We start from the raw sequence: 13680 nt of genomic DNA, 5'->3' as shown, positions 1-13680 counted from the left end.
CAAAGTCATGTTCTCATCACTGAACATTTACTGCATGATTATCATGCATTAGGACACCATGTTGGGAGCTAGGGATATAAAGAAGCAGGAGTGACTGTCTCTTTGCCTTGCATCAGATGACCACATGTATATTGACAGGAGACACTTGACAGCTTAAATTATGCCTCAGCATGGGTATTCAGCTGTTCCCTGATGTGCTCAAATTAAAAAGGATTCAGATTACTGAGCTTCAGGCAATGGAATGTTGGCTAAAGATGACCCCAAAACTAACTCTAGTCTTTTCTATTACATTCATCTCATCTGCTTGTTTTCTCTGTGACTAGCAGCTTGGAATATGGTATTTGGTTTTTCACTGATGGATTGTCATGGGAACAACATCACTTGAAAAAGGGCTGGTCTATGCTTTGAATTACCGATGTTTTTTTTTTTTGAGACGGAGTCTCGCTCTGTCGCCCAGGCTGGAGTGCAGTGATGCGATCTCGGCTCACTGCAAGCTCTGCCTCCCAGGTTCACACCATTCTCCTGCCTCAGCCTCCTGAGTAGCTGGGATTACAGATGCAAGCCACCACGCCTGGCTATTTTTGTTGTTGTTGTTGTTGTATTTTTAGTAGAGACGGGGTTTCACCGTGTTGGCCAGGATGGTCTCAATCTCCTGACCTCGTGATCTGCCCACCTCGGCCTCCCAAAGTGCTGGGATTTCAGGCATGAGCAACCGCGCCTGGCCTTGAATGACCAATTTAAAGCCCCAGTTTTTAGTTAAGATGTATGAAAATAAAGTCTTTCGGAGTATAAAGCCAAAACAGCTCAGACTTTGGATGAAGCCAGCACCATGAGTTCCCCGGTAGGCATTACCTTAGTATTTTTTTTTTTTTAAAGAATAATCATAAAAGCCCATAGACAGTTATATATGGGAGACAGAGTAACATTGTTCTTGTGAAATACTAATAAAACACTAGTAGCTTTCATTACACTACTACAGTATAACTTTTCTTAGAAGCATATCTCACTATAACTCTTTTTAGAAACATCTCTTACAGAAAGAGTCTAGCGAATCCATCTGTAAAATGCTGGTTATAGATACTGGCCCAATTATTATGGCAGGGAGTCAATTGCCCAACAATGACTGAATATAATCAATGAAGAATCCAGAATCTTAGTGTCTATCAGCTTGTTGACTAGGAATCTGGCTGAGAGATGTACTTTTTAGCATCTGTTAAGCTTGTCTTTAAACAAAAGACAGTGAAGTGCTATTTTCCCTCATATAATAAAAAAATCATGCCACCCAGTAAAATCTTCCTTCTTTGATCCATTCCCTAAACAAACTGAAAAGTGACTGAGAGGATTATAGGCTTTTCCTATCAACCACCCTGAGCCCGAGGGAACACTAAGAATCCTGGAATCCATTTTGAAAAACCAACTGGACTAATTCTTCTTTTGTGGGAGAAGGCCAGGGGACAAGAAACTAATTCTTCTTTTTTTAACCTACCATCTTATGTATTTGCACAGATGCATGTGTAAACAAGTGGGTGTGAGTCACATGTACCCATACATCCTCTGTTGGCTGGCAAAGTGCAGTGAAAAGAAAGCAAAGATAATGAAGAGAAAACAATAGAAGAAATAGGTGACAACCACTATCATGTTTTCTCTAAGGTGAAAGTTACCAGATGGTTGGTTACTTTGTATGATATTTAACTAAAGCCAACAAAATGGATACTAAAAAAAGTTTTTTTAATCTTATGTTCAAAGCTTTAAGCTTGAGATTTTAAAAGTTTAAACAAAAATTCAATATACTTTATTTGGAAATTTGATCTCAGTTTCTATTTGCAAGTTATTGAATTCTTTTTCACTTGAGAAAATTACTAAATCTCTCCTTCACTGTCTGGGAAACTGAAAACCAAAAATTGTTGTTTTGCTCCCTCCCTGAAGGCTCTTAAAAGGCAGCCAGTGAGTGCTATGTTTCAAACCACAGTGGTCTGAAGGGGCTGTTTATCTGCCTTTGTTGGAATGGAAACTAAAAGCATTTTGATTAATGGATTCAAAGTTTGCATAGTTTATTCTGATTTTAGAACTAAATCCAGGATTATTTATGAAAAACACTTATTTAAAATTAGTTTTTAAAATTGATCAGAAAGTGGTGACAGCTATTATTTAGATGTAAACACACACACTACAGGCACTTCAGAAAAATAGTAAAATAGAGACTCAGGACTTCTCAATGTGTTTTTATTCCTAAGAGTGAGATCTCAGGATAAATATAGAACAAATTATGGTTAGAGGTTAGGAGATTTAGAATGGACCCATTGCTTTCAGGGATGCACTTCTGACATCAAATATCACAGATTCTGAAGTGTAGCTTTCCTGTTTTCATCTGTGTAGGCTACGTTTAGTAAAACACAAATTCAGGAACTATTTATAATCTGTATAATTTTCTAACCTGCTTATAGGCAACAAATGTGAAAATAGACAAATGGGAATAAATAAAACTAAAAAGTGTCTTCAGAGCAAAGGAAACAATCATTAGAGTGAAGAGACAACCTACGATGGGAGAAAATATTTGCAAGCCATACATTTGATAAGGGGTTAATATCAAAAATATATAAGGAACTCAATAGCAAGAAGACAACCCCATTAAACAGTGGGCAAAGGGCCGGGCACGGTGGCTCACGCCTGTAATCTCAGCACTTTGGGAGGCTGAGGCAGGTGGATCACCAGAAGTCGAGAGTTCGAGATCAGCCTGGCTAACATGGTAAAACCCTGTCTCTACTAAATATACAAAATTAGCTGGGTGTGGTAGTGCACACCTGTAATCCCAGCTACTTGGGAAGCTGAGGCAGGAGAATTGCTTGAACCCAGGAGGTGGAGGTTGCAATGAGCCAGGATCAAGCCACTGCATTCCAGCCTGGGCAACAGAGTGAGACTCGGTCTCCAAAAAAAAAGTGGGCAAAGGACTTGTTGTGGTTTAAATGTTTGTATTCTCTTCATAATTCATGTTGAAACTTTATCCCCAATGCAACAGTATTAAGAGGTGGGGCCTTTAGCCACCTTTAGCGTGTGATTAGGACACAAGGACAGAGATGAATGCCCTTATAAAGGAGCTAGAGGGAATCAGTCAGGCCCGTTTGCTCTTCTACCCTTCCACCATGTAAGGACACAGCATTTGCCCTCTCTGGAGGATGCAGCGACAAGGCACTAACTTGGAGACCAAATCTCTCACTGGACAACAGCCTACAGTGCCTTGATCTTGGACTTTCCAGCCTCTAGAACAGTGAGAAATAAATTTCTGTTCTTTTTTTTTTTTTTTTTTTTTTTTTTGAGATGAAGTCTCACTCTGTTGCTCAGGCTGGAGTGCAGTGGCACGATCTCGTCTCACTGCAACCTCCTCCTCCTGGGTTCAAGCAATTCTCCTGTCTCAGCCTCCCAAGTAGCTGGGACTACAGGTGCACACCACCACGTTCGGCTAGTTTTTGTATTTTTAGTAGAGATGGGGTTTCACCATATTGACCAGGCTGGTCTTGAACTCCTGACCTCAGGTGATCCACCCACCTTGGCCTCCCAAAGTGCTGGGATTACAGGCATGAGCCACTGCGCCCGGCCAATTTCTGTTCTTTATAAAATGCCCACTCTAAGGGATTTTGTTATGGTAGCAGGAATGGACTAAGAACCTCAATACACATTTCTCAAAAGATGACCTACAAATGGCCAAGAGATATATGAAAAAATGCTCAATATCATTAGTCATCAGACAAATGAAGTCTAGGACCATGGTGAGATATTGCCTCATAACTATTATCAAAAAGATGAAAGAGGTGTTGGCAAGAATGTGGAGGAAAGGGAGCATTTGCACACTGATGGTGGGCATGCAAATAGCACAGCCATTATGGAAGATGGTATGGAGGTTCCTCAAAATATTAAAAATGGAACTACCATATGATCCAGCAATCCCAATACAGGGCATGTACCCAAAGAAATGAAGTTAGTTTGTTATCTACAGTCCCATGTTCATTGAATGCAGTTTTGTTACTGCATCTATAGTTTCTTGCTCTGCGGACAAAGTGAGAAAGTCATCACGTTCAGCAGCTGTGTTATCATTTATACCACTATGTCTCAAGCAGGTTAGAAAATTATTATTTTTTCTCTTTCCAGCATAGTACCTAGCCCATTGTGAGTCCTAAAGAGTGATCAGGCTTTGAGAAGCATCTTGCTCACTTTATTCTATGATTTCTAAGTGCTGTGCTAACTGAACACTAAAGAACCGTAAAATGATTGCTTTTTAAATTGTGTGGTCATTCAAAGATAGTATGTCATATTTTAAAATGTTATTTGAAATTTATATTTATTATTATTAGAGATGGGGGTCTCACTATGTTGCCCAAACTCCTGGGATCAAAGGATCCTCCTGCCTCAGCCTCCCAAGCAGTAGGGACTATAGGCACACACAACTATGCCTAACTGTATATTGTATTTTAAAAATCAGTTTATGAGGCTGGGCGCGGTGGCTCACGCCTGTAATCCCACCACTTTGGGAGGCCAAAGCGGGTGGATCACGAGGTCAGGAGTTTGAGACCAGCCTGACCAACATGGTGAAACCCCGTCTCTACTAAAAATACAAAAGTTAGCCAGGTGTGGTGGCGGGCACCTGTAATTCCAGCTAGTCAGGAGGCTGAGGCAGGAGAATCGCTTGAACTGGGGAGGTGGAGCTTGCAGTGAGCCGAGATGGCACCACTGCACTCCAGCCTGGGTGACAGAGCAAGACTCCTTCTCAAAAAAAAGGAAAAAGAAAAAAAATCAGTTTATATACAACTCTTCAAATACTAATGGCACACAAGGATATACTTATATTCTTTTCAAATAAACTACTCTTCAAGTATCCTAATAGCACATCTTATTTCAGTATTACAATTTATATTAACTATCTATACATACATCCTTTTACATATATACATAGTTTATGTTTGTTTCACATATATTTACGTATACTTCACCCATCGCCCTACCTAGACTGAACAACACTTGAAAATACAGATCATGTGTTTTTCTTATTCTTCTTTTTTTTTTCCCCCTTGGCTTATAGCTTCTTACAAGACCTTGTAGAGTCTTGTAGAGTTACTCGCCTCATATATGGTGAGTAAGTGTTGTTTCCTGATTAAATGACCAGGAAAAACTCTTCAAATGTATAAAAGGTCATTGCAGCATCAGAACTGCAATTGTGCTTCCTCTATTGTGGACAAGAAATAATACTGCTAAGTGAAAGAAGAGAACAATCGGGTTAAATTTCAGGTAATACTTGCTAGCAGTTAGGTTATTGAAACATCTGTACAACAATTTGTATGGGACAGGAAGAAAGCAAGCATCTATTGAGCATTTATGGTGCATGGAGCTTGTTATGCATTTGTTTTTATGGAATTCTCAATAAAGAATTAGAAAGTCCTTATTATCATTGTTGCCATTTTACAGACAAGGAAACGAAAGTTCAGAGGGACTACATAACTTGCCCATGTTCATTTAGCTAGAAAATGGTTAGAATTCAAACCCAGGTCTTTGGACTCCAAAGCTATGACAGTAGGCTGTCTCCAGCTTAGATGATGTTATAGCACCCAATAACATAATGTGAAGATAGCATTGCTCTGTCTTGCAAGAAAGTTTTTAGAAAAAGTCTTTTGGCTTGGATTTTTTTTTTTCAGTTGTGAATGCTTCCCAGTTTTTCCCATGTTCCTTCATAATAGCCCCCATGTTTCTAGAAGAAAATTTAATGTCAGTAATTAATCTCTATAAAATGTCTTAATTTCACAAAGTACATTTTATTTTAGCCAGAAGACAAGCAGCAGGATCCAGGATAGCAAGTAATAAAGTACCCCCCTGCACCCCGCCGATTTAAAGCCCCTTGACACATTCTACAACATGGATGAACCTTGAAAATATGCTAAGTGACATAAGCCAGATACGGAAAGACAAATTTGTATGATTCCACTTATATGAGGTACCTAGAATAGGCCAATTCATGGAGACAGAAAGTAGATTAGAGGTTACTAGGGGCTAGGGGAGTGTGGGGAGGGAAGATGGGCAGTTATTGTTCAGTGGGTCCAGAGCTTCCCTTAGGGATGATAGAGAAGTTCTGGAAATGGATGGCGGTGATGGTGGTGCAACTATATGAATGTATTTAATGCTGACAAGCTGTACACTTAAGGAGGGTTAAGACGGTAAATTTTGTTTTGTATATTTTACCACAATAAAAATATGACCAAAAAAGGAAATATACAGATGACTATAGTATGACTGTAATACTATATAAGGGCCATAAAAACAAAGCATATCATAGGCAACTGCGGTAGGGATAAATAATGAATTAAGAAATGGAGCTGCATACACACACAAAGGCACCTTGACACTTTAGGAATTTGGCTGTGGATAAGCATGATAAATGGTACACTTCTTTCACACTAAGAGGGAAAGCCTCTGTTCTATCAGGGTTCTATGAAAATTTTGTGTCTTTTTTTTGTTCCCCAGCCTGGAGTGCAGTGGCGTGGTCACAGCTAACAGCAGCCTCGACTTCCCTGGGCTCAAGTGATCCTCCCATCTCAGCCTCCTGAATAGCTGGGACTAAGGTGTGCGCCACACAGCCCACTCATTTTTGTTTTTGTAGGGATGGGGTTTCGCCATGTTGCCCAGGCTGGTCTCGAACTCCTGGGCTCAAAGCAATCCCAAAGTGCTGGGATTACAGGCATGAGCCACTGCACCCAGCTAAAAATTCTATGTCTTATTTTCAGTTGACAAAGATCCAGGGCCAAATATATGGTAGCATTAGAACTGGAGGTAGCAAGGTAGGGACATGTCTGAGTAGTAATGGCAGAAATTGCCCTGGGAGGTTAAGACAATACTAATGACAGGGAGCAGGAGACCTGAACATCATTCAGTGAGCTGGATTCATGGGCTGCTATGGGGCAACAGGGAGTTTCCTGACCACACATTCCCAGGGTGCTTATAGCTGTGGCAAATGCTACAGTTTCTACAATCTTAATATAGGGCTTAATATCTCAGAGCAGATGGACTGCTTCATTTGTCTGTAAGGCAAATTTGGTTCAAAACTTAAAATGCAGATATTTCATTTTCTTTAGAAGAATTATTCTCCTACCTCCCAGATTTTCTCCAGCTGTTCAAGGATGTTGGAAACCCCAGGAAACAAAGGTTGACCCTGGAACATTTCAATAAAGATGCAGCCTGCACCCCTAGCAAATGAAATAAGAGTAAATTGACACTTTGAAAGAAATCATACAAGCGAAACTGAACTACTAGAATTTCTCTTCCCAAGAAATATTTTAGGGAGAGTTAAATACGGACCACATGATATTAAAAGTCTTGGGCCAAAAAAAAAGTCCCTATGTCAAACAAAATAAGAACAGCCCACAGCTTTTTATTAAAATGGAACACCACGAGCAGCAGTTAGGAAAGCAGTAGAGTTAGCAAACATTGTAGATCATTCAAGCTCATTATCTGTTTTAGGAGAAGAGGGGAAAGTACTGTATCCCCAAATTTCATTTCATCCCCACTTTTCATTGAGTCTAAGATGCTATCATTGTAAGAAGCGTCATTGGTTTTTTGCCATTAAGACAAAAAAATGCAAGTTAAACTATGACATGATCAGAATGTTCATTTTATACTTATTGAAAGGGCTGTTATAAATTTAATTAAATAGAGATTATTTTCTCATATAGCATACTTGTACACGAAAAAGAGAAACATTAAGCAAAATAAATTGGTTTCGGTATTCCTAAAACTTTTTCACATTCAGCATTTGACTCAGACTCTTTGATGTCTACACTTACCCATGTATCATCCTCTATATTAAGAATTTGATGATGCAGCATTTCTTAAAATAATCCATAAAACAACAGAGAGTCATTGGTCCTGGGCTCCTAAGCTGGCCTTGCAGTTATGTAGTGTTAGCTTACTTTTGACTCCTGCTTAAAGAATGTTGCTAAACATGTCTGATTTACTCCTTCTCCACAACCATTTGGTTCCTAGGAGTTTAAAAAAAAAAAGAAAAAAAAAGGACTTTTCTTTGCAGAATTTTCTTCCAAGTCGCTGACACCAATTCTGCAATTTTTTTTTTTTTTTTGGTGGAATCTTGGTCTGTCGCCCAGGCTGGAGTGCAGTGGTGCGATCTCAGCTCACTGCAACCTCCGCCTCCCAGGTTCAAGCGATTCTCCTGACTTAGCCTACCAAGTAGCTGGGATTACAGGCACCTGCCACCATGCCTGGCTAATTTTTGTATTTTTAGTAGAAACGTGATTTCACCATCTTGGCCAGGCTGGTCTTGAATTCCTGACCTCAAGTGATCCACCCACCTCAGCTTCCCAAAGTGCTGGGATCACAGGTGTGAGCCACTGTGCCTGGCCATTCTGCACGTTTTGATGCTGGCTCATTTGATGTTCACACATGTGCAATTCTAACTACAGTCACAACTGCAGCCTGGCTGACTTATATTGTTAGATGCTACTGATTATAAGGTGCATCCTGATTTAATGGGAAATGTTCATCTTTAAATAGATTAAACAGTGAAATGTAAATTTTCTTTCATACATGGTCAAGCTGAAGGATAATTAGAGAGGGACAGGAAGGAGTAAGATTTATTTTGCTAATAAATCTTAGCAAAAATCAGATTTTTATTCTCATAAGTCTTTTGAGTATTAAAAGTGGTTCAGGTGACTGATTACAGAGACTATCCCCATGGCCCCATACTTCTCTCTCTCTCTCTCTCTCTTTTTTTTTTTTAACCGCAAACCTCTTTCACTATACCACATAATTTTGCAAACTCTCTTAATCATTTTGCCATTTTTGTGTGGCATGATAAAGAACGAAATTTAAGTAAAACATTTTATCGTAGATAATATTATTAAAAATTTATTATCAAGTTTATTTTAAAATATGGTCCTTAATATTATTCATATGTGTTTATTACATATTTTTACTTTTTCCATCTGACTGCAGACATATGGTCTTTTTTTTTTTTTTTTTTTAATACAGATGGGGTTTCGCCATGTTGTCCAGGCTGGTCTTGAAATTCTGGGCTCAAGCAATCTGCCTGCCTAGGCCTCCCAAAATGCTAGGACTACAGATGTGAGCCACTGTGCCTGGCCTGACAAACACTGTTTAGATTACTTTTCATTGATTGTGTAGGAGAAAACAGATTTCTTGACGATCAAGTTTAAAAATTGCTTTGTGTCTGGTTTGGGAACAGAATACATATTAAAAGAAAGACTGAAATTTATTTGTATCTTATCCTGTAAAAATATACAAAAACCCTTTTCATAATCAAATATTTGGTTTTAGCTTAACTGACTGGCTTGTTCTTAGAGTTTTGTTTAAAAAATGATATCAGACTGAGCTTTGCAAGCAGGTTTTTCCTCCAGCAAGCAACAGGTTGTTTTTATTGCCAATTTTTTTTTTTCTTTTTTTTTGAGACAGGGTCTCACTCTGTCACTCAGGCTGGAGTGCAGTGGTGCAATCTCAGCTCACTGCAACCTCCACCTCCCAGGTTCAAGTGATTCTCCTGCCTCAGCCTCCTGAGTAACTGGGATTACAGGCATGCACCAGCATGCCTGGCTAATTTTTGTATTTTTAGTACAGACAGGGTTTCACCATGTTCGCCAGGCTGGTCTCAAACTCTTGGCCTCAATTGATCCGCCTGCCTCAGCCTTCCAAAGTGCTGGAATTACAGGTGTGAGCCACCACACCCGGCCTTATTGCTGATTTTTAAAAAGCCAATTTGGATATAACAGCCCCATTTTATTCTTTTTCTTTTCTAATTTTTTTAATAGAGATGGGATCTCACTGTGTTGCCCAGGCTGGTCTTGAACTCCAAACCTCAAGCAATCCTCCTGCCTTGGCCTCCCAAAGTACTGGGATTACAGGTGTGAGCCACCACACGCTTGGCCTATTTTTTCTTTTCTACTGATTTCTGCTGTATAAGAAACATCTTGATATGTGACACAAGAATTTTGATCAGATAAATGTAACTTATGAATTTGGTAAAGTATCTTGAGGTAAATTTGTAGAATTATTATTATTTTAAAGTTCCTCATTAACTTGTATTTAAATATCCATGTTCTTTTTGTCTCCTGTCTTTAAAACAAGAGATACTAAGGGTGTAAATGAAACAATATATGAAGGCAAATAAAAGTGATGGAAAACTGTCAAATGCTTAAAAACACCCTGGTTGCTAGCAATGGTCCACTAAGAGATAAGCCAACTGAGAAACCTAGTTAGTGGGCACCACCAAATGGTCTCCACCCTGCCCCCCATGACTTCGCCACATGCACTTTCTTGAAAGGCCTCAGACCATTTTGTTTTGGAGTAAAAATAAATACGTGTCTGTGTATATAAAATACATGCATAATTGGGTTATTACTTGGTTATAAAAGAGAAATGGAAATGTATTGGCTTTTAAAGGCATGAACTAACCCTCTATCCAGTTCCCAAACACCTTCCAGAAACCCCAGGAGCTCACAAACCACTAGAAGGATTGAAAATATTTTAAACAAGTTTCAAAAAATGACATTCCTAGGTTTAAACCTGTAATTCACTTTCTTTTCTCCCCCAAAAAGCCTTCCATTGCCTGGAAGAAGCTTGTTGCCTTTTCATGGTGTGTTTTCATACTTAACAGCTGTAGGGAACCAAGAAGTCATTTTGTTACACAATTCCTTAGTGTCCTTTATCTTCTATACCACTAAACTTGTATACAAAATTATGTAAAATATATTGGCAAAAACTAGAGCATTCAGGCCATTACGTAAGTACCATAAAGTAACACAAGATGTTTGTGTTCCAGAGATAAAATGCCAATATTTGGTTTATATGGTTGAAATTCTCCATTTGCATTTTGGGGAAGGTTGAAACCTTCCTCATCTAACAAATCTAAGTCTAAGGTTACTCATTTATATACACGCACATGCACACACACTATGTATATAGTGTGTGTATGTGTGCACTTGTGCAAGTCTTTAGAACACTTATAAGACAAAATTCCTAAATCAATTTTATTTCAGTACATGGACTATCCATAGGTACTGTAAATATCAATGCATTGATAACAAAACAAGCCCACACTGTAAGTTTGAAAGGTGACAGATCTGTTCTAGGTGTAAGCATTGTAATCCTAGCACTTTGGGAGGCCGAGGCGGGCAGATCATGAGGTCAGTTCGAGACCAGCCTGGCCAACATGGTGAAACCCCGTCTCTACCAAAAATCCAAAAATTAGCCGGGTATGGTGGTGTGTTCCTGTAATCCCAGCTACTCAGGAGGTTGAGGCAGGAGAATCACTTGAACCGGGGAGTTGGAGGTTGCAGTGAGCCGACATCGCACCACTGCACTCCAGCCTGGGCGACAGAGCCAGACTCCATCTAATAAAAAAAAAGAACTATGCAATTTATCTTATTTTTTCATTTCTGTTCAGAACTGTTTCTTTTTTTTAATTTGCTTCTTACCCTTAGGAATACAAGTCATGTGGCTATCATCTATTTTGCCCACCACAGACTATTCTTAAAGCAAACATTTTAAATATTCTGAACATTCAAGTCCAGATAGGGAACCAGCTTCTATTTCCTTTTATTTTTCTGTTTTGTCCTTAAATCTTCATTCCTGGGGCTCCTCTTACCCTACATATCTTTAAGCTTCTCTGAGGATTTCTGCTGTGTGGAGATACCCGTGGGGCAGCCCGTGTAGACGAAGGGGAAATTCATATGCAGGGGAGAAAAGACCCTGTGACATCAAACATTAAACCCTTCCAGAAGGGAGAGATGTGCTGGGTCATTTTATTGTTCCAAATGTGGTTCTTCAGTCAAGTTAGAGGAAACTGCTTAGATGTTTTCTCCTCTTTCTGGTTCTCCTCCTACTTTTTCTCTATTCTGAGCATGAACAAATTCTTCCATAAGAGGGGGAAAGATTCCTCAGATTCCTTAGGCAGTCCCTGGAGAAAAAAAATCCATCTCGGGAGTTTTAGGCTTTTTGGAGGTGCAAGGAGAATATCAAAATGTTGTTGGGAGAAATGAATCAGTATTTCATTTCTTACTGTTGAAGTTAATTCAGAATAACGTAATATATGGCAGTGACATGACATTCTCACTTGCTTTTCTCTAGACCACCCTTTTTATATTTGGAAGTTTGCAGCGAGAAATGTGACAGTAAATGATCTGTTAGGCAGAGACAACTTTCTCTAGTCCTAACACCAGCAGCTGCCTGAAACTGATACTGAATAGATGACCTTGTGTACTGAAATAAATGCTTCTGGAAAACTCAGTGTACTACGACATGGATGAACCTTGAAAATGTTATGCCAAGCAAAACAAGCTAGACACAGAAGAGGTATTGTAGGATTCCACTTTTATATGAGGTACCAAGAATAGTCAAATTCATCAAGATAAAAAGCAGAATCGTGGTTACCAGGGACTGAGGAGAGGGGGTAATGGGAAATTATCATTTAATACGTGCAGAGTTTGAGTTTGGGATGATGAAAAGTTCTGGAGATGGACAGTGGTGACGGTTACACAACAATGTGAATGTACTGAATGCCACTGAATTGTACACCTGAAAATCGTGATGAATGGTAAATTTTATGTATATTTTAACACAATACAAAAAACTAAAAACCACACCATTTAATAATCCTAAAATATTGCATTTTTCTCACTAAAGTCACTAATGGAATCTTTTAAGGTCTGAAAAGGTAGCAGAAAGAGAGAGAAGAAAAGACGTCAGAAGATGAGAGAATGTTGGTTGGGAGCTTTGGGAATAACCAATATGTCCTAGTTGCAAGTTTTCCATAATTAACTAGAGCCCCTGTTTATTTGCTCTGGCCCCCTACTGACACTGCTGCCACCAGGCCTCATTGTGAAGGAGAGGCTCTGCACTACGGGTTATAATTGGTTTCTTTAAGACAAATGCACTAATGCTGACCCAGTGTCATCTACCTCCTACAAGGGCATTCACTTTGGACCCTATGGGGTTGCATGGCCTAGCAGAATAGGATTATTCTTTCTTTTTCATTCTTTGTCAACTGGAAATCTTCTCCCTTCTCACTTCCCCTCTTATCACTCTGAAAAGAAAAAGAAAAAAATGGGAGGAGAGGGATCTCAGTGTAAATACCCAAGGTCTAGCAATTACTTTGAGGGTAAACAAATATAGTGAGCTCAATGGAAGATGCATATTGTTCTATTTCTACATTACATTTTTAGTTTTACCAGGAAAACAACAATCAAATGGAATGAATAAGAGTAATAACAATAATTTTGACTTATAACTGCATTTTTATATTGTGTCATTGTTGCTCATGGTTAAATTCATGAAACACTTATTCATAGAATAACATACATTTTTGTATATGTGGTAAAAAGGTAAGAGATATAGGTTGATGCAAAAGCAACTATGGTTTTGCCATTACTTTTAATGGCAAAAACTGCAATTACTTTTGCACCAACCTAATACATAGTTTAAGAGAGACTTAAAGAACTGGTAGATGAGCTGAAGAAATTACCCAGAATGCATCACAGAAAGTTAAGGAAATGGAAAATATGAAGGAGAGAAGAGAAATGGATAACAGAAGAATGTGGTCTAATAGTCTTTCATTGGAGCTCTACAGAGAGAGAATAGAATAGAGTCAATATTCAAAAAGAAAATGGCTGATGAAAG

At 38.9% G+C, this 13680-nt stretch overlaps 1 protein-coding gene across 13 annotated transcripts in view; it reads right to left on the bottom strand.

The window, feature by feature from the left end:
* Positions 1 to 13680, bottom strand: part of CDK15 (cyclin dependent kinase 15) — an 89122-nt gene that overhangs the window by 40947 nt on the left and 34495 nt on the right. For 12 of the 13 annotated variants that reach the window (NM_139158.2, NM_001366386.2, XM_011511652.2 and 9 more), the window contains one exon: positions 7130 to 7223. In NM_139158.2, coding sequence (NP_631897.1) covers positions 7130 to 7223 — 94 coding nt within the window. Of the gene's footprint in view, positions 1 to 7129; positions 7224 to 12948; positions 13088 to 13680 lie in introns of those variants that run through there. The other variant, XR_922991.3, reaches the window with a different exon arrangement.

This window comes from Homo sapiens, chromosome 2 (genome assembly GCF_000001405.40).
Source record: "Homo sapiens chromosome 2, GRCh38.p14 Primary Assembly".
Taxonomy (NCBI): domain Eukaryota; kingdom Metazoa; phylum Chordata; class Mammalia; order Primates; family Hominidae; genus Homo; species Homo sapiens.
The sequence above is the reverse complement of the archived record's forward strand: the minus strand, read 5'-3'. Positions and strand labels throughout refer to the sequence as shown.